We start from the raw sequence: 25889 nt of genomic DNA, 5'->3' as shown, positions 1-25889 counted from the left end.
AGATTATTTCTTAAAAATAGGGTTGGAGACATTATGCTTTATATAAATTACACTATGGTAAGAGTAGTCATACTATTTTAAAGATAAGGAATGAAGTTCAGAGAAGTAGGTTCAAGTACCCAGCATTCGATACTAGAAACATAAGAAGCCAGGATTTGAATACACTCCTGTGTGATGCCAGAGCTCATGCTCTTTCTATTAGTCCATCCTGGGGTTCTTTTACTGAAGAATAATTCCTTAGATTTCCTGAGTCTTCAGTTGAGGTTTCCAACAAAGTCACGTATTTTTTCAAGGAAAACACATTGGTGCAAATAGCTATTTTTTTTCTCAATCATTCAACAAATACTACCTCTTCTCTCCCAAGCACTGTTCTAAATGCAGGAACTACAGTGGTGAAAAAATGAGTTCCCTGCCCTCTTGGGTTTAAGTGGAATTTGGATAGACTAGCAATAAATGAGTGAAAAATAGATTATAATATTTTAGGTGGAGATGAGTGCTATAAAGAAAAATACAGCATGATAGGGGAATAGGGCAGGGTAGGTTAGACAGATATACACAACCTCTCTGAGACATTATCAATCTACACTCATGTCTAAGGAAGACTGCCTTATAAGTTTGTTTGTTTGTTGTTTGTTTTTGCTATTACTCTGTTGTATTTGTGTATGTATTTATTTATTCATTTTCTTGTTTTTGTATTTCTACTTCAAGGAATTATAGCAATGGGTTTCTTTTCTAATTTATTGATTTTGTCCTGCAAATGCATTACCCTTCCCAAATGAATATACTGAAACTAGGACTTTAAGTTCTTTGAGAGGACCTGCCTCACTTTAATCATTGCCTCCTAATTGGTGCCTTGCTTCCATTCTTACCAATGCACTTTTGTTCTCCACACAATAATCAGGGTCATGACATTCACAGCATTCTTCTGCATGAAACCCTCCAATGTACCCCATGGAACTAAGAAGAAAATCTGCTCTCCTGAATTTGATGCCATGATCTAGCTCCCACCACCCCTCTAGTCTCATCTTGTACTTTTTCCCTGTGTCTTCTACCCTATTATTAGGCACTGCTATGATTAGGGGTTTTATTGTAACAAGGGGATATCATTGAGCTCATATCTAAATTGGTCATCTCAAACATCTTTCCAAGCTATTTCTTCTTTACTCTTCTAGTAAAAAACAAATCCTAGGGAGTAAAATTGGAATTCAGCATTCTATCTCTCCACCCTTACTTCTTACCTCCCTCCTATCACATAACGTTCTTGCCATCCAAACTAACATATAATATATGATCTATTCACACCTCCCAATTCCCCCTTCATTCTTTCATTTCTGCCTCTGAAACAGTTACCAACTCTCTGCCTCTCCCATTTCTAATTACCTATGTCTTATCTAATTTAAAAATATATCTGGCTCAGTTATTACCTCCTCCAATAAAATCTTCTTTGATTATCTCAAAGGAACAGAAGCTCTCCCCATCTCTCACAAGTTACATCTCACTTTCCAATTTGTATTGTAATTTTCTATATTTGTCTTGGTAGCTACTGTGCTGAATAACCCCAGAATTTCAGTGGCTTAATAAAATAAAGATTTATTTGTGGCTCATATCATAATTCAGTGTGACTCAGTGGGGATGGGGCTGGGGGAAAGGAGACTCCAGGTTTCCCTGTTATTTAGGATTCCAGGTTTCCCCTCAATCAAGTGGCTGTGCCATCTCCTTGGACTACTCCAAAGGACCCTCTGAATCTGAGTAGTAACAAGAACAAAGGGCACAGAGAAGACTATACCCACTCAGCAACCTTGGCCTAGGAGTGACACACATTTCTTCTCACATTCCATTCATGAGAAGTGGTCACATGTCCTTACCTCAGGAAGAGTGAGCTGGGAGGATAAGCTAGCAGTGTACCCAGAAAGAAGAGAAAATGTGTTTGGTGAGTACCTAGCCAGTCTCTGCCACTGTCCTAACTACAGATTTCACCAGAATCCCCCCAAAACCCATTGTGTTGTCTTGAATATAAAATATATTCAATATTTATCCCCAAAATAAAAAGATTATGATGGTGAGAAGACTATTGTGATGAACCTTTCATTTCCTATTCTCTAGTCCTGCTGCTCTTGTAAGCCTCAGATTTCTTATCCTTCCACATGGAGAAAGTTTGATTTCTAGCTTTCTAATTAATTATGCCCTTCCATTATGGGCAATAGAGTCAGCAGCATATGCAGATATCCCCCGAGATCTCTTTCCCCTTGTCCCCTGCTATGGTGCCTGAAATGTATATGTTAGAGTCAATCACTCAGTTATGATGGCTAGAACCAACATCACACAGATCATATTTCTGTGAATTACCAGGATGTAATAAAATTGAAAATTAATAACAAATGATTTTTAGATAAAAGATAAATATCACTAACTTATTCTTTGGTAAAGGAAAAATCCTGACAGAAATTTTTAAAAACAATTTGAGCAGAACTCAATGAAAGTACTATATGCAAAAATCTGTGAAATGTAGCTAGAGCAGTACATAGAATAAAATGTATAGCTCTGAATACATTAATTGGGAAACAAGAAATATGACAGAAAGAAAACAACCACGATGTTGAAAGAGACAGTCTGTGGTAATGATAGGGGGTAACAGTAAGTGAATAAGGCTGTATAATAGACATGTATGACTGTCCCATAAATCAAGTGAACAGTATGGAAAGTAGCTGAGTGTGAACCATCTTACTCATAAGGCCTACCTGCCAAGTTAAAGTGTCCTTCAGCAAGAGGCTGTGGGGTGTATTTCAGAAAGCACAGCTGGGGAGGGTCAGATTATATCGTAGCATAACAAATATCCCCAATCAAGAACTAGTGCAGTGAGAAGGACCTTGTAGAGCTTCTGAAGAACATAAATAAGCAATTGAGAAAGAGGAAATAAGTATAAAAATAACAGAGATTTTCTTAGCATCATGAAAAAACTATAAACCACTCAACAACCATATTGAATTGTATTTTTAAAAATCTAGATGAAATTAATAAATTTCTTGAAAAACATACAAAAAGTCAAAATAAGCATAAAAAGAAATAGAACCCATGAATATGCCAAATCATCAAAAAAAAGATAGTAAAAACTTCCTTCTCTACCAATTCTCCCACTACTACCTAAGACATTTTAGGCCTGGATAGTTGCATGGGGTGAGTGTAACAAACAATATAAAAACAGATAACCACCATATGTTGTTCCAGAAAATGTAAAAGCAATAAAAGTTAGCTAACTCATTTTAAAAGCCAGTTTCACCCCTATATTAAAACCAGAGAAGTTCATAATAAGGACAAAAATGTAAGCCAATTTTACTTATATAATAGATACAAAAAAAAACCCCTGGGAAAACTAACCAAATTTAATAGCATACTTAAAAAATTATGACAAGATTTATTTTAGAAACTCCTGGATGGCTCAGTATCAAACAAACAATGTAATTTACTACATTAGCACTACGGAAGACAGTTCATATGGTCACTTTAAGAGATGCAGAAAAAGTGCTTGATAAAATTAATACATTTTGTTTTTTAAAAAATTCGTAGAAACAAGAAATAGAAAGAAACTATTAATTTTATTTAAACAATAATAAGGATAATAATAGCCTACCAAGAACCTAGGGCAAAACCATAATGATAAATTCTTAAATGTATATTTTTTAAAGTTAGGAAGAAGAAAAAGATGTGTGCTATCATTTCAGTTGTTTGACATGATACCAGAGGTACTGACCAATACAATAAGATGACAGGGAGGGAGGGAGGGAGAGAGAGAGAGAGAAAGAAAGAGAGAGAGAGAAGGAGAGAAACAGAGATAGAGATGGAAGGAGAAAGAGAGAGAGAAAGATAAACATATTGGAAAGGAAGACACAATGTTGTTACTATTTTTTATTTATTTTTATTTTTACTTACTTATTTTTTTGAGCCAGGGCTTCACTCTGTTGCCCAGGCTGGAGTGCAGTGGCACCATCTCGGCTCACTTCAACCTCTGCCTCCCCTGTTCAAACGATTCTCCTGCCTTAGCCTCCCATGTAGCTGGGATTACAGGCGTGCACCACTATGCTTGGCAGCTAATTTTTGTATTTTTAGTAGAGACAGGGTTTCACCATGTTGGCCAGGCTGGTCTCAAACTCCTGGCCTCAAGTGATCCACCTGCCTCTGTCTCCCAAAGTGCTGGGATTACAGGTGCGAGCCACCATGCCCAACCACATGAGCCACCGCGCCCGACCTATTTGAAAAAAACAGAACAAATAGTACATTTCCATGAGGGGCAGGGAGACAACAAGAAAATCCATAGTAAACCATTAGAATTCATAAGATTTGACCAAAGTAGCCAGAGACAAGATCAGTTCCCCAAAATGAGTAGCATCTGTCTTATCAGTGATAACCAGTAAATAACATGGCAATGAAAAAACAAACACATGTAGGAATTAATCTAATAGAAGTGACCAAGACCTTTATGGAGAAAAATTTTAAATGTTTTAAAATGACTCATCTCTCTCCCCATAAAACTTGAATAAACAAAGAAATATACTTCATTCTTGGAGGAGATAACAGCACTGTAAACTTGTTAACTTTAAACCAAATGACTATATAAATTTAATGTAGTTCCAATCTAAACAACACTGAGGACTTCAACAAGTTTATCCTAAGATTTTTTAATAAAAAATAAACATCCATTAATAAAACAATAATTAATAAATCACAGTAATCAATAGTGTGGTTGTGATACAGAGTCAACAAGTAGATGAATGAAACATGGTAGAAAACTTAGAAACGGATTCATTTGTGTGAGACCCTACCCTATGGTAGAGATGGCATCAAAGATCACTGACTGATGCATGAATTATTTAGATAATGATGTCAATAAAAAATGTTATATTTCCCACTTCGTATTATACATCAAAATTCAACACCAAATGGATTAAATGCCTAAATGGGAAAGGAAAAATTATAAAAAGATAAAAACTGAGGTAGAAAATTATTTTTGGTACTTTGACGATAAGAAAAATTTTCTTAATTTAAAAAGATTCAAAAATCAAAAGCCATGAGCAGAAAAATTAATGAATTTTCATAAAAATTAAAGATATCTGTTTAATGAACATCATTGTCAAAGTTAACAGATGAGTGGCAGACTGGGACAAGATATTTGCAATATCAAAATCTGACAAGAATTTAACATCTGAAGTATACGACAAACTCCATAGAACCCACCAAAAAAAGAGGACAAAAAACACAATGCTTACATGGTCAAAATTTAAACTTGCACAATTTGTATGTGATTCAGAGTTAAGGTAAGTGAACAGGCATTCAGTCTCTATAGCACTCAGAAGAATCCTGAATAAAGCAATAATTACATACCAATTTATACCCACAAGATTGAAAAAATTTGGAATGATGGATATGTAAAGTGTTGCTGAGAATGTCGCAAATCAGGAATTACTGATCTGCTACAGGGAGGGTAAACTGGTATATCCACTATGAAGAACAATGTGTACAGTCTAGCATTCCAGTTCCTGAGTATATAAGCCAAAGAAATTTGCACAAAATTCACAAAAGATCATGTCCAAATGGGATAGCAAATATGATCCTACCCTATATCCAGAGTGAGGAAACTGACATTTTTGAACAGTCCTAATGACCATCATCATTCACCTTTGTGAACTATGGTCACAAATACTGGGTTCATTCTTCTTTCTACAAACAAAATACCTTCCAATCTCCCTCAGATGGAGGAACTTAAAGGTCTTGTTTAATCATGACATCAGTTTCTATTCACAACAGGACAGGATTTGCTGCAGTAACAAGCACTTCCCAAATCTTATTGACTTCTATTAGCAAAGGTTTATTTCTCATGTATACTATTTGCACAACACTGTGTGACAGGGTGGCTTTGATCGTAGAAATCACCTTGAACTCAGGACCCAGGCTAACAGAACAGGAATTATCTGGAACATTGTTGGTTCCAGGTGAAAAGCCATCAGCAGATGCAAAAACAAAGTACATGCTACACATGCCTCCACCTAGAAGTGACATGTGTCACTTCTGTTCACTTTTAATCAACCAAAATAACTCATGTGACTAAGTCTAAGTCCAATATAGCAGAAAAATATTGTCCTCCCCAAGAAGAGCCAATTAATATTGATGAACAGTGATAGTCTACCTCAGTGGATAATCACTGCAGCATTGTCTATAGTAGAAAAGAGTTCAAGTTATCCCATGTGTCTACCAAAAAGGGGAACAAATGAATAACATGTGATGTACTCATCTGTTATTTCATATGGCCCATAGAAATGATGATACATTTTAACATATAAGCAAAAATATATCTAAGTTCAAATATAAGAAAGAAATAATCAGAATTAAATTTATAACAATACAATTTTTGTGTTTAAAAAATTCATTCACAAGCTAAGATATATTTTTCAAAGACAAATATACAGTAGTCCCCCTTTATTCATGGTTTTATTCCCTGCAGTCTCAGTTACCCACAGTCAACCAGGAACTGAAAATATAAAATGGAAAATTCCAGAAATAAAGAATAAGTTTTAAATTCTGTGCCACTATGAGTAGCATGATGAAATATTGCATTGTCTCACCTGGACATGAATCATCCCTTTTTCCAGCACATCCACGTTGTATGGGCTACCCACTCATTGATCATTGAGTAGTCATCTGGTTACTACAACAGAAAAACACTATATATAATATGGCTTGGTACTATCCATGGTTTCCAGCATCCACTGGGGGTCTTGGAAGGTATCTGCTTCAGATAACGGGGCATTACTGTATATCCAAATAAATACATGGAAGAATCTGTCTCAAAAGAAATGCCTTCCAATGATTGAGGATAGTGTTCTATGTACTGAATATAATTAATTCTGTTCAACAGGTGTTTATTAACAAAAACTTCTAGGTCTCCTTTCAAGTGAAAATATATGATTTGAGAGAGATAGTTTAAGACATGTTAATATTTAACATCTCACACATATACCACATATGTACATTCTCCACAATAAATTACTAGATATGACCTTGGCTCCATCAGAATCTTAAGGAAATGAGACTTTGGGCAATACATGTTTTTTATATGGGAGAGGAGTGTCATGAAAATGCCTGGCACAGGATGGGTGTTTCATAAGTAGTATTAGTTTTTGTACAAATAGTGTTTTGCTATGTACACATTATCTTATTTAATCATCATAATAAAGTAGAGGATTTTAATTGCAATTTCATATATGAAGAAATTTATAGAGGGGGATGGTGAGTTGTTCCAAGTGTGCACTGACAGTAAGAAGTCAAGTGATAATAGAAATTCTTAACTTGTGAATTCTTGTTTAGTTTTCATTTGCCTCTTAACACTCAGTCTGACACAAGAAAAAAGAATTCTTTGCATCTAAGGAGAATATGGTTTGAGTCTGGTATCACAAGAGCCTCCAAATAGCCCTCAATCCTCTTTCTTATCAGCTCTTCCCACACTAATGTAGTTAGATGGGCATAGAAACAACTTCCAGAACTTTTCCTTTCTACGCTCTGTTAAACATTGCCTGGAAATAACAATTTATCCTGGTGCAACTTCCCAAAGACACAGACAGTAAAGGCAACATGTGTAAGTAGCCCACGTAGTTCAAATACTGCCACACCCTAATGGGAAAAAAAGGTGTATACTGCAAACTGTTCAAAGTCATGCTACCAAACTTTTTCAATACATAAAAAGGTTTTTTTTAAACAGATAATAAATACTTTTAAGGCAACGTCTATGACAAAATGCTAAGCTAATTGGGCCACACAATGTACTATAGGATGGCATATCATTTGCAAGGAATAAAAGAAAAAAGATATATATTGTCAAGCTGGGACCAAAGAAAGATTTGGTGTTTATTGGAGCATGAGAAAGCCTTGTATTGTAAATATGTAAGAGAGTAAGTTCAGGGCAGTAAACAAATTCTGCACAGATAGCCAAACTATGCTGAGGAGAAACCAAACAACTGTAGGTTCAATTTAGCCCCTTAAAGTGTGCCACCCAAATCTCTAGTATTTAACACAAAAAAGTTTTGAAACTACTCTTTTAGATCAGAGGTTACAGAACGATAGACCATGGCCTGTCTTACAAGGTCTGAAAGCTGAGAAAGTACTTTATATTTTTAAAGAGTTGTAAGGAAGAAGATGGAGGAGAAGGAAAAGAAAAAGAAAAAGTGACAGAGACAATAGGAGGCTCACAAGTGATAAAACATTTAGTACCTGACCCTCTACTGAAAAAGTATGCTGACCTCTGTTCAAAATCAGTGAACAAGTTAGCATGCTCCTACATTGGCAAGGAAAAGATGACACCCGCCCCCCTACAAGACTAACACAGTTGTATAGTATCTTTTACCTAAAAAGCAGGACTAAACAACCTATAGCAAATTAATTAAGGTTTCCTGTGGCACAGGTACACTCACTTGTTTACATGTTGTCTGTGGCTGCCTTTGAGCTGTAACAGCAGAGTTGAGTAGACAAAAGTATTTACTATTTGTCCATTTAATATAAAGTTTTCTTGCTCTGCCATAAAGGACAAGTGGAAAACTTGCCACTCATTATGTGATGTCCCCTTTAATACTGGTAGACTCTGACAGCTCAGAACTGAGGGACTTTTAAGCTTTTCCTAGAAGTTTTTTTGTCAATGATGGCTATATTTCTTTTAATGGTTTTGTGCTTCTGACTACTCCTGTTTTGTGCTCCATTATGTTGCTCTATTCTTTGATACTAGAAATACAATTAACTGTGAAGCCACAATCCTTGTTGACAGACACCAGGCTTGTTGATCACATGATTGGGAAAATTCAGACTTAGATAATGTCTACCTCAGTCAATAATCAATCAAGATTCTTTAGTTGAAACATTATGTGAATAAGACTTGCATTGAATAATTTCATTGTAGATAGGCTGGTATGAGCATATTGAGAAAGGTACTATAAGAAAGATATACATTATATATATATATATATATATATATATATATATATATATATATATATATATATTTGTACCTACACACACATATACATAAATACAATACAGTCACCTTTTCTACATGGATTTTGTTGAAGACAGTGTTATTTACATCACAATATTACATCACTGAATGTCTCCTTAAAGGGGTTTTTATTAAGACACTTGAGAAAAAATGTATTAGAATTTTATAGTTGGAATGCTTTTATTGTGTGCACAGTGTATACATTGTAAGTGATTGTTCTAGGTATCTATTTATTGCCTCAGCTCTAAATTCATCATTGCCTGTTCTGCAAACATGTATCTAGGCCTTTTAAATGTTTCCTTTGCTTGCCATTGTTAAGCTTTGTCAGTAGAAGGCATTGGAGGGGCATTGTGGGAAGAAGGGTTTTGATTTCTAGTTCCTGGTTTGGGTTTTTGGTTCCTGGTAAGGCTGCCTTGACTATGTACTTCTCCTCCATGTGAGCAGTTTCGTTTCTTGCAGGGGACCCCCATCACTTAGACAGGAAAAGAAGTAGATTTCTCCAAGGAGGCTGACAGGAAAATAACCACCAAGGAATAAGGTAAACCCTATTTTGTGGTATTGTTTCTCCCTGTAAGATATACTCTGGTTACAACAAAGGAGCCAGCTGTCAAAGCAACACTTATTCCCTTACCTTTCTTGCTGTTGGCTCTTTGGGAAAGGACGTGCCAAGCAACCTTTTAAGATCACCAAATTCAACAGCAGCATAGCTGTAAGATTTGAATCCTGTGCCTGAGAGAAGACATCAGGAGATTGGAGCAGCCTTGAATACTTCTACCTCTAAGTCATAAATTTAAAACCAAACACCAATTCATAATCAAGAACAAGGATATACATCTCATCATGTTTAAATAGTAAAAATGGGAGATACTGTGAATGTTCAATACAAGTTAATTAGTCAAATAAATCATGGTCTCTCCCCACCAGACACTGGCATACCATCACTAAGAATGAAATCACGGAGGAATATTGAAAGGCAGGAAGAAATGATCTTTACGTATTATTAGATTAAAACAAAAGCTTTTATGAAGCAATAAATACAAATTTTATTTTTAAACATATTTATACCCACAGACATACATGTGTACTCACACCATGCATACACACACAAATAGGAAATTTCCAAATTCAGGGAAAAATCACAATCCCTGGTATAGCTATGGAATAAAAATGTTCACTTGCTTTGCTTTCTTGGTATTCATTTCTTAAAATATACACCTTGATCAAGACTGGTTGCTGATCTCACCAACACAGGGAACAAAAAGTGATCCACCAAAATCCAAGGGTTTAATCAATTAGTTTGAGTTAATCAGTAATTCAAAAATATAAGTCCCTGAAAGTACAGACATCATGGAGATGGTTTCATCCAACAAATGGATGGATATAGATTACATAGCTGATGCTGATGATGGTGGTAGGTAGTTAGATAGAGAAAGACATGCAACAATATAGTTTTAGAAAAATTAACGTTTTTCTAAAAGAGCTTCATCTCCATGGAGGCAGTGCTGCATTTACCTAATGTGGTATTTTCATCTATGAAAGAAAGATAAGATAGCCATGGAAATAGGTAAGTGAATGTTAATATACACAGGCACAATATAAAACCACTTAGATTGCTCTTGATGTAAATTGGTTTTGGGGGGTTAAAAAGATATGCAGGATTCTCTGTGTCTATCTATTGCTGTTTGTTATTTGATTATCTGTTTACCTGGAAACTAATATTATGCAATACTGGAAGGAAGCTAAGCGTTTCAATTATTACTAAATTTTAATTTAATAACAGTTAATTGTGAAATATTACTACTACCATTTTTCAAGTGTTCACAATATGTCATGTATTTTAATAAGCATTTAATCAATACCATCTAACTTAGTGTACTCAACTTTACGGTGAGGTAGGCATTATTATTTTCAGAAAAGGAAACAGGATCGGAGAGATTCAGTGACTTGCTGAAAGTCACACAGAAAGTATCTGAAGCAATATTCAAATAAAGATATTCCTGATTCACAAATCTGTTCTCCTTTCACTGTCCTAAACTTCTGATTTTCACATGGCTCAGTGGTTTGGAGTGGTCTTGAATATACTAAACCTAGGCACGTGAGTTCCTTAAGTTCAAGGATATGAGGATGATTGGCAGAAATTAGAGCTATCAAGGATTTTATCAACATTGGTTGAACTAATAAAAGCATGATACAAGGAAAAGATAGTGTAGAAAATATAATCAGACTCTCCTCTTGTTTTCTAGGTCCATGGGAGCTGGGATGGATGGTGGTTTTTGTCATCATTTTAGAGTATAGCAGTGATAGCATCAGATTATATAGTAATCAATTGCTTTATAAAATCAGAAATTTCTTGAAGAGATAGCTTCAGATAATCCTTTTCTGCTTGAAGCAAACACCACAGTTGAATGAAAAGTACAAATGCAGTTAGAAAGCAGCAATTTCAGTTGTGAATTTGCCATTTAGTATGTAAAACAGGGAAATAAATAAACAGCTAAAAAAAAACTAGAATTATAGGACTAGTTCTATAAGTTGCTTAAACCCCCTTAGACTTCATATTCCTTCCCTGTCAAGAAGTAGTACAGATATCTATTTTATCTACTTTACAGAGTTTTTAAGAGAGACATATTAAGTTTTGAAACATTGTAGATAGACTGTATTAAACAATTTTTGCTAGAAATAATTTCTTCAGTTGGGGCCTATTTTTAAAATAACTTTTGAGTTTTTCTTTCATTATTACAAAAATAATATATCTTCATGGTCCAAACTATGAAAATTACAGAAAAAAAAATTCTAAATCTCTTATTTAGTGGCATTCTAGAGCTGCCCTGTAGCAGTTTCTGAAAGTCAATTGTGCGCATGTCTTTAGAATGGTATGTTCAGTGACGTTATGTTGGTAGCTTTAAATCAACCATGATGATATTATTTACACCATGGAAATTGGCAGATATTACCAAGCAGGGCTTTCTTTTTTGGAAACAGTTGTTATACATTTATCAGCACACCGCTGCCCATAATTCTAGAGCTTTGCCAATTTGGTAATTTAAATCAGATTGCTATCCTTTTAGTAAGTCAAAAATTGAAGGAGATTTAAAATAACCAGATACTCTGCATTCAGCCTTTAATGTGTTATTCTCCAACAGAGAAGATAGAGTCTGAATAAATGGGAAAACATGCTTTATAAGCCTTTACTGCAAAGGCCTGCATTGTTTTATGTCTTTTGCATTATTTAGGCATGTAATAGGTTATACAACCTTTGTGGTTTCTCTCTCTCTGTCTCTCTCTTTAAGAATTTTAACCACCAAATGCCAACAGGCATAGATCTTTAGAGGCTTTGCCTGTGCTTATGTTGTTTCATTAATGTCTCCTTCTTAATGATAGCATTTCTAATCTTTGCATAGATGGCCAAGAAGTAGAGTTATTGGCCTTCCCCTTAGACATTTGAGTTCCTCTTCAGCTTCCCAATTATGTATAGCTCCAAGACTCTACTTTGGTAGCAAATAGGACCAGGAGTACCCACCCCAGCTTGCCTTTTATCCCCATATTTTATGGAGCTATTTTCTGCTGTCACAACCCTTGAACATCAGAAACTAATTTTTTATGGATTTCAGAAGTTCAATGAGGACATTTGAAACATAAGATTTATTTTCTACATACTTACCCATGTTCAGTCAATATACACAAAAATTTAAATGACATTTTGTCCACCAGAGGGCACTCATATTGTTCCAAGTATAGAGCTAAGGATTATGGCAATTGGAGGAGTTGGAGAAATGAAAGAACCCCCAGGACTAATCAAGTCTTCACTAAACGCCAAACAGAGCAATACAAATCAATTTTTTATTTCATTTTATTTCCACTCCTCCCATATTCCTACCCCCGCCCCCCACCCCCTGCTATGTACACCAAAATAATCTGGACAAGTGTATTCCTCAATTCACGAAAGAAGTAGGGGGAAAAGGGAGAGATCAGGGTGAATTTCTGCGTTCCACATTTTCAAGTACCAGCTTTGCAAAAGGGCATATTTTTTCTTTAAAAAGTGGGTGTATGGAGAGTATGGAAGAATAACAAGAAATTGATTTTCATAAAGTTACATCCTTTGTGCTTTAAAATGATACATCTCAAGTTGTTTTCCAGTATGAAGCTGATGAACTGCATGCTTCAGATGACAGAGCTTCTGCCCTTCTCTTGGAACTTGACACTTCTTAAGCACTAGAAAAACCAGAGGCTGACACAAGGCTGCGGTCTAGTGTGTTGACAGCCTCAGCCACAAGTTATTCTGACTTCTCACAAAAGCAAAATAAACTTGTGATTTCTGAGACATGTCGTATACCTCATTAGTGGTTTCAACTAAGTGCTGTTTATTGATCTTAAAGTCTTTCTCTTCTCAACGTAAGCAGATTTCCACCTATGTCTTCATCCTTCCTGAACATTTTAGGATTATGAACCCACTCCATTCATGGACCCTAGAAATTGCTAAATTTAAGCCATTACACCTGAGGTAAGGATTCTACCTCATTCCAGTTATATTACTATTACATGTCAAACATTTGCCTCATGCCATTTTGTTTCTCTACAGGGCCATTTTTGTTCATAAATTTCAAAATTAGACAGATTAAAAGATGCATTACAATATTTCTGCTTCAGAATGGCTCACCAATTAAAAGTCTCAGCATTTCCTCTATTTTAAAGAGTGCTCAGTTAAGCCAACATAGAATGATCTGAAATCTAGCTTTCAATATTTAGTATCTATGCGATACAAACACACATACCACAAATAAGGAAAAAATAAGGTTTTTGTCCATTTGGAAAATCGTGGCAAAGTAATTATCAGAGAATGACTAATAAACATTCATAAGCCTGATCTTTACAACATGGCCCAAAGTGCCAGGTACTGTAAAGCTTTGAAAAAATTGGACCGTTGGCACTGCAAAGACCAAAAGCAAAATTGGCCTGCCTTCCCCAATTCACATCTGGGTTCAGTTTGTTCTCAGTAAGAAGAGCTTAACCAATCACGCTGACTTAGTCTCGGTTCAGATGGGAAAGCAGCAATGTTATATGAAAGGAGTAGGAAGAGGTGACTGTTCCTTTAAGTCCTCCCCTGAGGGAGAAATGCTGTTTTATTATGTTTGGACAGTCCTTACATAATTGCTTAGTATTAGGGAATCAGCTGGTTCGTTGCTGAGTGGTGCCTATTGGGCTTAGATAGTCCCTTTTTGAAGTATGCAGTTTACTGGTCAGAAGCCTTCAAAAATAAAGTACATTATTACAAGGGCTTTGCACTGGGTAAGATTAAGCTGAAAAGAATTAACTTTCTTTCCAATACATGAGAAAAGATGCAGAAAGAATTTCATAACTCAGGTTTAACATGGGAAATATAGTTGATATAAAAGTTATTATATAATATAGGCAGAGAATGGGAAATAGGTACAAAATTAAGAAAAATGTAAAATAATCATGATTTACACTGAGTCATTTTTTTACAAATTCTTCCCATGCATGCCACAGTTGGCAATTACTTTGAGAGTCAGAATTTTTATGGGTATATCACCTTCAAGTTTGAAAATATTTATTCCAGACAAGGAATTATGAAATAATGCCAGACCTGGAATTATCATAAGACAAAGTGTCACTTCACTGATGAGATAAAAACGCTAAGAAGGTCTCTATTAAATAACAGTAATGTTAGTAAGAAAAATGGTAGCATATTTCCTATCTGTTGCCTTGTTTTTAATCCTCTCAGTCCTAGTTAGCACCTACTTCTTTTGTCAGATCTTCGTTCAATTATCACTTCCTTGGGGAGGCCTTCAAATACCTCCTTGATTAAGTCAAATCCCTCTATGATATGCTTTCAAAGCACCATGCCTCTTTCCTCTAGGAGACAGCAAAGTTGCAATTGTGCATTTATTTTTATAGTTCTTTGATAAATATCTATGCTCTCACTGTATTAATGCTCCACAAGGATACTGACTGTGACTGGTTTTGATGTCCATTGAATCACCAGCATCTAATACTGTGCCTGGCATGCAGGGGGTACTCAATGCCTATTTATTTATTAAATTATAAATGAATGGTCAAGTGAGATAAAATTAATGTCATATTACAAAGTAGCTAACAAACTCAGAAAAGCCAGTTAGCTAACCCAAGATAACAAAGCCATTTAGTAACAGGGGAGGGTGGGATTCAACTCTATGCTACTTTCTTTACCCAATGTGCCTTATAAGAAAAACTATGAGTCAAAGCATAATGGTTAAAATCAACACAACAAAAGGTAAAGTAACTAACTAAATTTGTTTTCCAACTAAGGTAGTAAAATAAATCAAGTGTTCTTTGCTATTTGCACAAACCACCAGCCATATTCTGGGTGAAGAGCTATTTTGCAAAGCTGGATTAAACATCATTCAACCAAGTGAAAATGTCTTCTCAGAAAATAGGTATGTATTTTTTAAAAGAGCTGAGAAAAGGATAGTATTTTATTGTGTTAAAAAAAAAATCCACATCTGCTTAAACATTTCCTAAAAATAGGTAGATCCGTTAAACAAAAACAAGGGTGTTGGTTTTCTTTACTTGTCTTTAAACAATAATGTACACATTTACACATTTAATTTTCATCACTGATAATTAGAGCTTATTACAGAGGAGAAAATCATGACTGAGAAAAGAGAATTAAATTGCATAAAGTCTGTGTCAGGGCTTGCATTAGTCTGCTTAGACTGTTGTCACCAATACCACAGACCGAATGGCTTAAATAACAGACATTTCATCACCGTTCTGGAGGTTAGACCCCAAGATCAAGATATCAGCAGGCTTTGTTTCTTCTGAACCTCTCCCCTTGGCTCCCCTCTCCATGTGTCTTCATGTAATTCTTCCCTTTCCTGGGCCTGTGTCAAAGACAAAGAGAGAATCTTGAAAATAGCAAAAGAAAAGTGACTCATGTAACAGGGACTCTCAATAAGGCTAACAGCTGATTACTCACCAGAAGCTATGAAGGCCAAAGGCAGTGGGATGACATATTCAAACTGCTAAAAGAAAAATTAAAATAATTATAAAGAAATGCTATGAGCAATTGTATGCCAACAAATTAGGTTACCTGGATGAAATGAAGAAATTTCTAGAAAGACACAAGCTACCCAAATTCTCTCTATAACTGAGAGGTGACAGCATGCTGGCAGCCCTCGCAGCCCTCGCTCACTCTTGGCACCTCCTCGGCCTCGGCGTCAGCTCTGGCCATGCTCGGGGAGCCCTTCAGCCCACCACTGCACTGTGGGGACCCCTCTCTGGGCTGGTTGAGGCTGAAGCCGGCTCCCTCAGCTTGCCAGGAGGTGTGGCGGGAGAGGCGCAGGTGGGAACTGGGGCTGCGTGTGGCACTTGTGGGCCAGCTGGAGCTCCAGATGGGCATGGGCTTGGCAGGCCCCACACTCAGAGTGGCCCTGGGCAGTGAGGTGCTTAGCACCCGGGCCAGCAGCTGCAGAGGGTGCGCCAGGTCCCCCAGCAGTGCTGGCCCACCAGCGCTGTGCTCAATTTCTCGCCGGGCCTTAGCTGCCTCCCCTTGGGGCAGGGGTCAGGACCTGCAGCCCACCATGCCTGAGACTCCCCACCTCTCCATCATGGGCTCCTGTGTGGCCTGAGCCTCCCCAACAAGCGCCGCCCCCTGCTCCACAGCGCCCAGTCCCATCCACCACCCAAAGGCTGAGGAGTGCGGGTGCACGGCGCGGTACTGGCAGGCAGCTCCACCTGCGGCCCCGGTGCGGGATCCACTGGGTGAAGCCAGCTGGGCTTCTGAATCTAGTGGGGACTTGGAGAATCTTTATGTCTAACTAAGGGATTGTGAATACAGCAATCAGCACTCTGTATCTAGCTCAAGGTTTGTAAATGCACCAATCAGCACTCTGTGTCTAGCTCAAGGTTTGTAATGCACCAATCAGCGCTCTGTGTCTAGCTGATCTGGTATCTGGTGGGGACTTGGAGAACCTTTATGTCTAGCTAAGGGATTGTGAATTCACCAATCGGCACTCTGTTTCTAGCTCAAGGTTGTAAATGCACCAATCAGCACTCTGTGTCTAGCTCAGGGTTTGTAAATACATCAATTAGCACTGTGTATCTAGCTAATCTAGTGGGGACGTGGAGAACCTTTGTGTCTAGCTCAGGGATTGTAAATGCACCAATCAGCACCCTGTCAAAACAGACCACTCCCGCTCTCTGTAAAATGGACCAATCAGCAGGATGTGCGTGGGGCCAGAAAAGAGAATAAAAGCAGGCTGCGCGAGGCAGCAGTGGCAACCCGCTCAGGTCCTCTTCCACACTGTGGAAGCTTTGTTCTTTTGCTCTTTGCAATAAATCTTGCTGCTGCTCACTCTTTGGGTCCACACGCCTTTATGAGCTATAACACTCACAGCGAAGGTCTGCAGTTTCACTCCTGAAGCCAGCGAGACCACGAACCCACCAGGAGGAACGAGCAACTCCAGACGCGCTGCCTTAAGAACTGTAACACTCACCGCGAAGGTCTGCAGCTTCACTCCTGAGCCAGCGAGACCATGAACCCACCAGAAGGAAGAAACTCCAAACACATCCGAACATCAGAAGGAACAAACTCCGGACACACCGCCTTTAAGAACTGTAACACTCACTGCGAGGGTCCGCGGCTTCATTCTTGAAGTCAGTGAGACCAATAACCCACCAATTCTGGACACATAACCTTTAAGCCCTGTATGTTCTTCTCCTTACCTAAATCCTTATCTCTCATTAGGCTCCCTTCAATTTACTGTATCTCAAATATATTGGCTCTCATTCAGTTCCTAACTTCAGGAACTACACAATGTTTTACTCCTTTACCTTGCTGATTATTCCATTTTTGAGGACTCAGTTTAAATGCAATTTCCACAGACACTTTCTTGAACCCTTCACACTAAGTAATTACTCATCGAGGCAATACTAATGCTCTAACAAAGAAAATGTCTTTGACAATACCTTTCCCTCAAATACTTGTTGGGCTCCTTGGTAGGCTTTTAATCTACTTACTAATCAGTTCCATGTTCTAGTGACTATGCCCAAGATTATTTCCCAGATAAAATTATCAAGCCCAATTTAGGTATTTGCTTTCTATCTTCCAAGGCAATCTCTTTCACATTAATAGATGATATCTTGAGACCAGTGAAGTCATAGACTTGGGTGGGAAGGCCACATACCTTTAATCTAATCTGTACTTCCAGAGCTCTATCTGCATGAGTCACTGTTACTCAAAACCTCTTTAGATTTCATCTATTATCGTTCATGGTCTTGAAGTGATTTTCAAAAAAATCAAAAATTTTTGGTATTCTCTGACTGTCTGGCAACTATCCAGTTATTTCTGGATTTAGCTTTATTTTCCTAGTAACATCTTGGTAAAAAGTGGAAATGAAAACCAATTTGGATTATTCTGAGTTTTTCCAACTGTATCCCCCAGAATATAATTTTTCAACCCCAACACCATTGACACGTTAGATCAGATAATTACGCATTTTAGGGATCTATCCTGTGCATTGTGGGATGTTTGTCAGCATCCTTGGCCTCTACCCACTCTGTGCTTATAGCACCACCCCACCTTAGTCACGACAAACAAAAATATCTCCAGACATTGTCATATGTGCCCTGGGATACAAAATCACCCATCAATTAATAACTGAAACCACAGGCTCAATAGGCCCATTTTCTGCCTTCAAGTTATCATAGTCAATAACTTTACCAAATATTTGGTCAAATTCATAGAATGGGCCTTCATTTATCCAACCTTTAAGAGTTTTATGGCTGCCTAACTTATTACTGATAGGTCAATGTCACCTAATTTAAATGTTTGTTATATGTAGATAGTACCTCATTTCAAGTTTATGTTGAATCATAACTTCAGAATTAGTTTCTATATTAGTTATGGCAATTCTAGCTTCATAATGAGCAAATATCAGCATCACTGTGGCTAAAGCCAATATAAATTTATTTTCCACATGTAATAGTCCAATGCTGGTGTTTGGTTGGTGACTTCTGTGTAGTGTTTCAGAGAGCCAATCAGCTTCCAATATGTCGTTCTGCCATTTTCAACACATAGATTCAAAGGTCATGATGTTCATATGTTTCAAGTCAAAGCAAAAAGAATACAGAATATTGTATAAGGGAGAATTTTATAGGCTAGACTATGTAATGACATATATTATTTTTGCTCACATTTATTGATTATAATTCAATTATATTGTTGTATCCAACTGAAAATGTGTTTGTATTTGGGATGGAAAATACAGACTACTTATGTGCCCAAGAGCACAAGGGAATAGGTTTGATGATAGCTTTCAGTACCTGCTGTTTTAACTAGTTATATCCTCTCATTGTACTGTACCCTTTTTTAATGCCACTTATTAGAATTATAATAAAGTAATTATTTAAACAACTATTGGTTTATAATCCGTCTTGCCTCTAAATCAGTATACTCCATAAAGGCAAGAACCGCATCCATTGTATTCAATGTTGTATCTTTAGCAAATTTGCTAGTTTTCTGAACCTCGCAAAGTTCTTGGCATTTAGTACTTTTTCAATAGAAATGTTTTAAATAAATGAATAAAATAATGTAAAAGTGGGTGAATAAACAAATGATGATTTGGTCCTTGATATAGACCTAGTCTAGCAAGTTATTCTTTGCCAGACACATATGTAGCTTTCCTCCTGATCTCACGGTCTCATGTTTACTCTGCTTAATTCAAGCAGTGGCAACTGGTTCTGCCCTTGTAACCCATGGTGAAGAAGTGAGATGGTCATGTAGTCTCCAGAGCCCAACTTTTCCTGATTGTGTTGGTTCCTGAGGCTCCTTCTGCCTTCTTGTGATGGTGAAATTTATGTGTCAACTTGATTGGGCCATAGTGTCCAGATATGTGACACCTAGATACATTATTCTGGGATTTTTCTGTGAGGGTGTTTTTGGATGAGACTAATATTTAAATTGGTGGACTTCGAATAAATTAAGTTACCCTCTGTGATGCTGATGGGCTTCCTCTAATCAGCTGAAGGCCTGGATAGAACAAAAGACTAACCTCCGCCAAGCAAGAGGAAATGCTGCAGGAGACAACCTTTGGACTTGAACTGTACAGTCAGCTCTTCTTCGGGTCTCCAGCCTGCTGGGCCATTTTGCAGATTTTGCACTTGCCAGCCTCCATAATTATGTCAATCAATTCCTTCAAATAAACCTTTCTATATACTGTATACATACATCCCACCGGTTCAGTTTTTCTGGATTATCCTGACTAATACACTGCTCATATACACATATCAATTTTAGACTTCACTCTAAGGTCAATACTTCTATTTAGAGTGAAGGGAGGGCTGGCTCCAGAGCCTAACATCCCCCAGATTCTCCTGTTCATATTAAGGCACAGAGCTTTCCTATTGTGTGTGCTCAGTTTCTGATCAAATTTTTAATGATACAGCATTCATTTCACTACCTCATTACTACACACCTGTATTAGTCAGGGTCCCAACAGAAAACAGATGGCAAACTCAAATTGGAAACATTAAGGCAAGTTTAGTAAAAGGATTCTTGCCAGAGTTGTGGACAGCATATAAGGAAACTACAAGGAACAGCACATTACCCCCAAGGTGAGTAACAGAGGATCACCTCCAGGACTGAAGAGGCAAAGAAGGGAGCCAGTGGGAAACCTAGAGAGACAGCAAGAGTGGGGCAAAGAAAGATACTGAAGAGCTATGGCCTATACTTGAGAGAAACTCCCAGACTAGGACATGGAAGGAACCAGGATAATAATACCCTGACCCTACTCTGCTTTCTCCTACTAGTCTTCTAGCAATGCCTTAAGCAAACCCAACCAGAAGTGGAGCATGAGGGAGCCCAAGGTCAGCGCTGGAGTTTACAGCAGGGAGGAGAAAAATAGAAAGTGAATCTGGAGGGCCACAAACATCAAATATTCAGCACACGGCCCTACCTTCCTAAGCCTCTGGCACTGCCCCAGAAGGAATAACTTCATATGATTTCTTCAAGATAAAGCCAACAGTCTGTCTTCTCTAATAGCCTCATCTACCTCTCAAACTTATACACCCAACTCTCCCATCAAGGAGAAATCCTTCTGCAGATGGTATAGTGCTCTTTTGGCTTTTCTTTTCCCAATTACCTTGTTTACTCATAGAAATAGTGCACTAGAGGGCCCATCCCTTCGGGCATTCGGACAGGCCCTGACATGTCAGAACTGGCTGGACATGTCCAAGACACAATAAAACCCAGTAAGATATACTTGGCACTAAATAAGGGCTGATTAGAATGGAATCTTCCATTGATGACTTAGCCACATCAGGATTGTACAGGACCTCAGGTTGTAATTCTGAATATCAAGTCATTATACAAAACTGTATAAAATACAATTATGGATTTTTTAAAGGAGTTGATTTTTGCATCCTGGAACATGCATCACTGCATATTCCAAGTTAACAGTTCCTGAAGTTAAAAAAAAAAAAAGAAGTTTGATAGTTTTGTAAACCAGCCTTGAAATTCTTAGTTCTTAAAACTGGCCAAGGCCCAAAATGGAAAGAGAGAACAAAGAAAATAAACTGTTTTCATAAGTTAGAATCCAGCAGCATCAGAAATCTTGAAAGAGGTTGGAAAACATTTTCAGACTGGTTTTACAACTCCTGTTAGCCTAGTTAATTGATATCACCACCCAAATTTACTTTAACTGGGCTTTGAAAGCTTTTGAAATTCATTTTCCTAAATGAATACAGCTCTAAACTCCGTGAAGAATGGTGTATTTTCCTGCCCACTATTAAACTAACCTGAAATTTTATAGCATGCTAGAAATTCTAGTCAAATCTGAAGAATCACCTTGAAGCCATTAATTACCAGATAATCCTGAAACCAAAGAAAAGACTCATATTTATAGATGAATAAAAGAACTCCCAGGGTGGCCTAACCATAAGTTATTTTCTCGGGACCTTCTTGAAGGTAATATCTCTTGGGTGGCAAGGCTGGCACCAGACAAAGTGATGTAGCTGTTTTCACTGCATGGGCTCCAGATGCCTTTGTTGTTTCTATCAGGCTCCCAGGGCAGCCTCACCCAGGTCTTCTTGATTACCCAGTTCCCTTCTAGTTTAAACATTCCTAGGCCCCTGACTCCTTTTTTTTCTTTTTCTATTTTAAGATGAGATCTCATTCTGTTGCTCAGGCTGGAGTGCAGTGGCTTGGATCACGGCTCACTGCAGCCTCAACCTCCCCAGGCTCAGGTGATCCTCCCACCTCAGACTCCTGAGTAGCTGGGAATACAGGTATGCACCACTACTCCAGGCTCACTTTTCCTATTTGTGGAGACAAGGTCTCACCACGTTGCCCAGGCTGGTCATTAATTCCTGGGCTCAAGCAATCCACCTGCCTCAGCTTCCCAAAGTGCTAGGATTACAGGCGTGACCTAACACAACTGGCCAAGAAGACTTCTTTATGTGACTGAGTAAAAAGTTTAAATACTTCCTATCTTCCTTCCCCAGTGATATGCTAAAAACTGGTGCTTTAACTACAGTGTGTAGCTTTAAGGAGAATCAGCCGTGTTGGAAAATGCCTGGACAAACAATCAGGGGGCTTGGGTTCTTGTTTGTCCCCTACCACTAAAAGCTAAAGTGACCTTGACAGTGTCACTTTACTTCTTTGGCCTCAGATTCCTCTTCTATAACAAGAAGGTGGTTGAATTGTGTCAGTGATGTCTATGCTATTTTTTTTTAGCCTTTCTGCAAAATAGAATATTACATGGGAGCTCAATATGTGAAGGAGAAAAAAAGTACAGCTGCTCTAGTTTGAAGATGATTTCTACCAACCCTGTGCACTTGACCATCACACTTCCCAGTATGTCTTCAGTTTACTCCCCTTTCACAGTAGGACCTTTGATTCATGCATGTGGCTTATGATCTCTGAGGTTCTTCTTTTTTTTTTTTTGAGACGGAGCCTCACTCTGTCGCCCAGGCTGGAGTGCAGTGGCGTAATCTCAGCTCACTGCAAACTCTGCCTCCCAAGTTCGCCCCATTCTCCTGCCTCAGCCTCCCGAGTATCTAGGACTACTGGCGCCTGCCACCACGCCCGGCTAATTTTTTGTATTTTTAGTAAAGACGGAGTTTCACCGTGTTAGCCAGGATGGTCTCGATCTCCTGACCTCGTGATCCGCCCGCCTCGGCCTCCCGAAGTGCTGGGATTACAGGCGTGAGCCACCGCTCCTGGCCTCTTGAGGTTCTTCTTTAAAAAGCAGAACTCTGGATCCCACTCCAAAATCTGCTAAATCAGCCTGTGTAGAGGTAGGCTCAGGAAGGTGCATTTAAACAAGCATCTCAGGTGAATTTCATCCACACAAAAGTTTCAGCACAGCAAAGCAATTTGAAAAAGGACTGGGTCAAATATTTCTGATGTCCATCTCTACTCTAAAAGTCAACAGTGGTTTTCAGTGTTTAAGACTTAGAAAAATCCTTTAGGATCTGATAAAAGCAATGACTCTCCTCCCTGAGAAATATGCAAACAAACAAATATGCATACACACACATTCACAGATACATATATGAAATGTTCCCAGAATTTCAGCAAGCTTATGTACTCAGTTATATATCCCTCTGATGTACATCCATGGACACCCCATAGCCTCACAGTTAAAACCCTTACAATATTCATTACTTAACAGCGATATTTCAGGGTGAGTGTGGTGATTCACAGGAGCCCTTCTGGGGGGCTTCTGATATTGCACTAAGCCAAAGGTTGCCTCTAACTTAGGATTTCTAATTCAGTTTTCAAATTGTTTAAAATAATTGGTATGTCCTGTTTGTTTGTTTTTCTTAACTACCAGGATAGTGTTACCCTGAATTTTCCTTACTTACTTCACCACCAGTATGAGGATGACATGGCTAACCCCTAGGCAAACAGCTGACACTTTCTGAAGACCCTTGCTGTAAGGGCTGTTCAGTTCCCAAACTGTTTCAATTATCAAATTATGCTTATAGACATTCCTGCCCATGGAACAAGAGGGTTATGTCTTCCAACAGGAATGATGCAGCCACCTCGCTGCTAGAAATCCAGATATTCTTTTCAGAGGATCCAGGAGTGAGCTTGAAGCTGGTTTTCAATCTGCCAAACAATAAGACTGTGTGGTGGCGCCAGGCACTCCTATTAAGGGCTGCTCCATAAATATTCATGGACCATGATAACAACCAGGATAGTTCCTTCCCAAAAGTCTTTCTTTCTCACAGTGCCACCCAGATGTGTCATGTGGAGGGGGGTCTCTAGCATCCAACAGAGATGAGATCCTGTACTGCCTAGATAATTTCTTTATGCTTTTTTTTTAAACCTTTCTCCTGCAATCTGAGTGATTTTGGCTTTCATTTTGCTATTGGCCTGCCAGCAGTAGCCCCTCTCCAAGTCAGCTCCCCACCTACTTCTTCCCAGTCAATAGGGAACCACTTAACGACATGAACATTAACTAATTTGAAGTTTGCTTTTGAACCCAGCACTAATAGGAGATGAGGAATGTGTTTCTGTTTGCAAGTTTTCCATGTGGGTTAAGTAAAGATTGTTTGCTCAAGTTTGAAGTTTGGAAGAAAAAGGAAAAACAAGGCCCATGCCTCATCTTGTCCTTTGAAGGTAGGCAGAAGGACCATTGTTCCCCGTGCAGCTGAAACTTGTGGGCTGAGAAACCACTGGAGTCTCCTCCCTGAGGTTTCTGAAAAATTCCCCACACACATCATTGTCAGTAACCGTGGCGGGCTGTTTTGTTTCGCCTTTCATTCCTTATTTATTGCCAAAGTAAATGGCAATGACAGTTGAGAATGGAAAGAGCGGCAAGGAGTGAAATATAGAAATAAGGCATTGATACAAAGAAGAGAAGTTGCTAAAATGAGAAAGGAGTCCCTTCTCTGAGAGCTCAAAATGTGTTTCAGCATCCAGAAAGGCTGGACAGAAAGCTGTTATTTTTAAAGGTAAACAGGTAAGAAGTGAAGCAGTGAGTCATCCAGAGCTCCAGGGTGGATGCCCACCCCTCTCACAACGAAAGGATTGCCTCTTAGTTCTTTATAGGTAAAACAGGGCCCAGAACAATGGAAATAAATATGTTTGAAAGTAACAATTAGGACATATCATATTGGATGGATATCCATCCAAAGCTAGATGGATTAAAAAATAAATAAATTAAAAAACCTACCTTTCAAAATCTCAAGAAAAAAAAAAAATACCCTTGGAGTGATTCCCTCTCCTTAGCTGTTCAACGGCCAAGCTAAGGATGCCACAATTGATTGGGGGTTTGTTGGAGATTCTGATTTCAAGCTTGGCTTCTTTGTTTCATGGCATATGCAGCATTTTTCATGCTTCTCCTTACACTGTAGTTTTCACAACAACTCAGCGGAACATTCTATTCTGAATGCCCTGAGTCTGTCCCATTTGCAAAGAAAGGGCAACAGAGAGATGAAATGTTTCGATGTTCCCATCACTGAAAGGATACAATCTGAGGTCTTCAACATGGTCTAACTGGATCGCTGTCATTTGACCCTTGCTTATTGTTCCAGCTTCAAGTTCTAATATTTTGCCCCTTGAACTTTATGATCCAACAATTTCAGAAACATTAATTTCCTCCAAATCACTGCACTGCTTTAGATGTCTATGGGCATTCCGATGACATTCTATCTCCCTGGGCAACCCTCCCTTGGTATCTTCTCTTCTCTCTGCCTAATCCTTAGCTATTAAGGCATAACTCAAGTGTCATCACATCTAGGAAGTTATTCTTAACATGCTAAACCAGTCCCTCATATGGGATTAAGCACCTGGGCATGACATTCACAGGAGAATTACCATATTTATGAAACTATTTCTGTGTTTATCTCCTCC

At 38.2% G+C, this 25889-nt stretch overlaps 1 protein-coding gene and 1 long non-coding RNA gene across 3 annotated transcripts in view, besides 1 other annotated feature; both read right to left on the bottom strand.

Moving 5' to 3' along the window:
- LINC02758 (long intergenic non-protein coding RNA 2758) overlaps nt 1-3578 on the bottom strand; it is a 140695-nt gene extending 137117 nt beyond the window's left edge. Inside the window, exon 1 of the long non-coding RNA XR_002957243.2 lies at nt 2739-3578. This is a non-coding gene — a long non-coding RNA (long intergenic non-protein coding RNA 2758). The remainder of the gene's footprint in view (nt 1-2738) is intronic.
- Nucleotides 3579-10049: 6471 nt separating this feature from the next.
- The window catches only part of METTL15 (methyltransferase 15, mitochondrial 12S rRNA N4-cytidine), a 424088-nt gene continuing 408248 nt past the window's right edge, over nt 10050-25889 (bottom strand). For both annotated transcript variants that reach the window (XR_007062458.1, XR_930849.3), the window contains 2 exons: nt 16005-16047; nt 10050-15909 (listed from right to left, as the gene is read on the bottom strand). The gene's annotated coding sequence lies outside the window, so the exon portion shown is untranslated. The remainder of the gene's footprint in view (nt 15910-16004; nt 16048-25889) is intronic.
- Nucleotides 20786-21985: an enhancer, noted in NCBI's record as "MED14-independent group 3 enhancer chr11:28542087-28543286 (GRCh37/hg19 assembly coordinates)". NCBI's record gives its function as "activates an origin of replication core promoter dependent on BRD2, BRD4, P300/CBP and CDK7 cofactors, and independent of MED14, by STARR-seq in HCT116 cells {active_cell/tissue: HCT116}" and the evidence as "EXISTENCE:reporter gene assay evidence [ECO:0000049][PMID:35650434]".

The sequence above is a fragment of the Homo sapiens genome, chromosome 11, assembly GCF_000001405.40.
Source record: "Homo sapiens chromosome 11, GRCh38.p14 Primary Assembly".
Taxonomy (NCBI): Eukaryota; Metazoa; Chordata; class Mammalia; order Primates; family Hominidae; genus Homo; species Homo sapiens.
The sequence above is the reverse complement of the archived record's forward strand: the minus strand, read 5'-3'. Positions and strand labels throughout refer to the sequence as shown.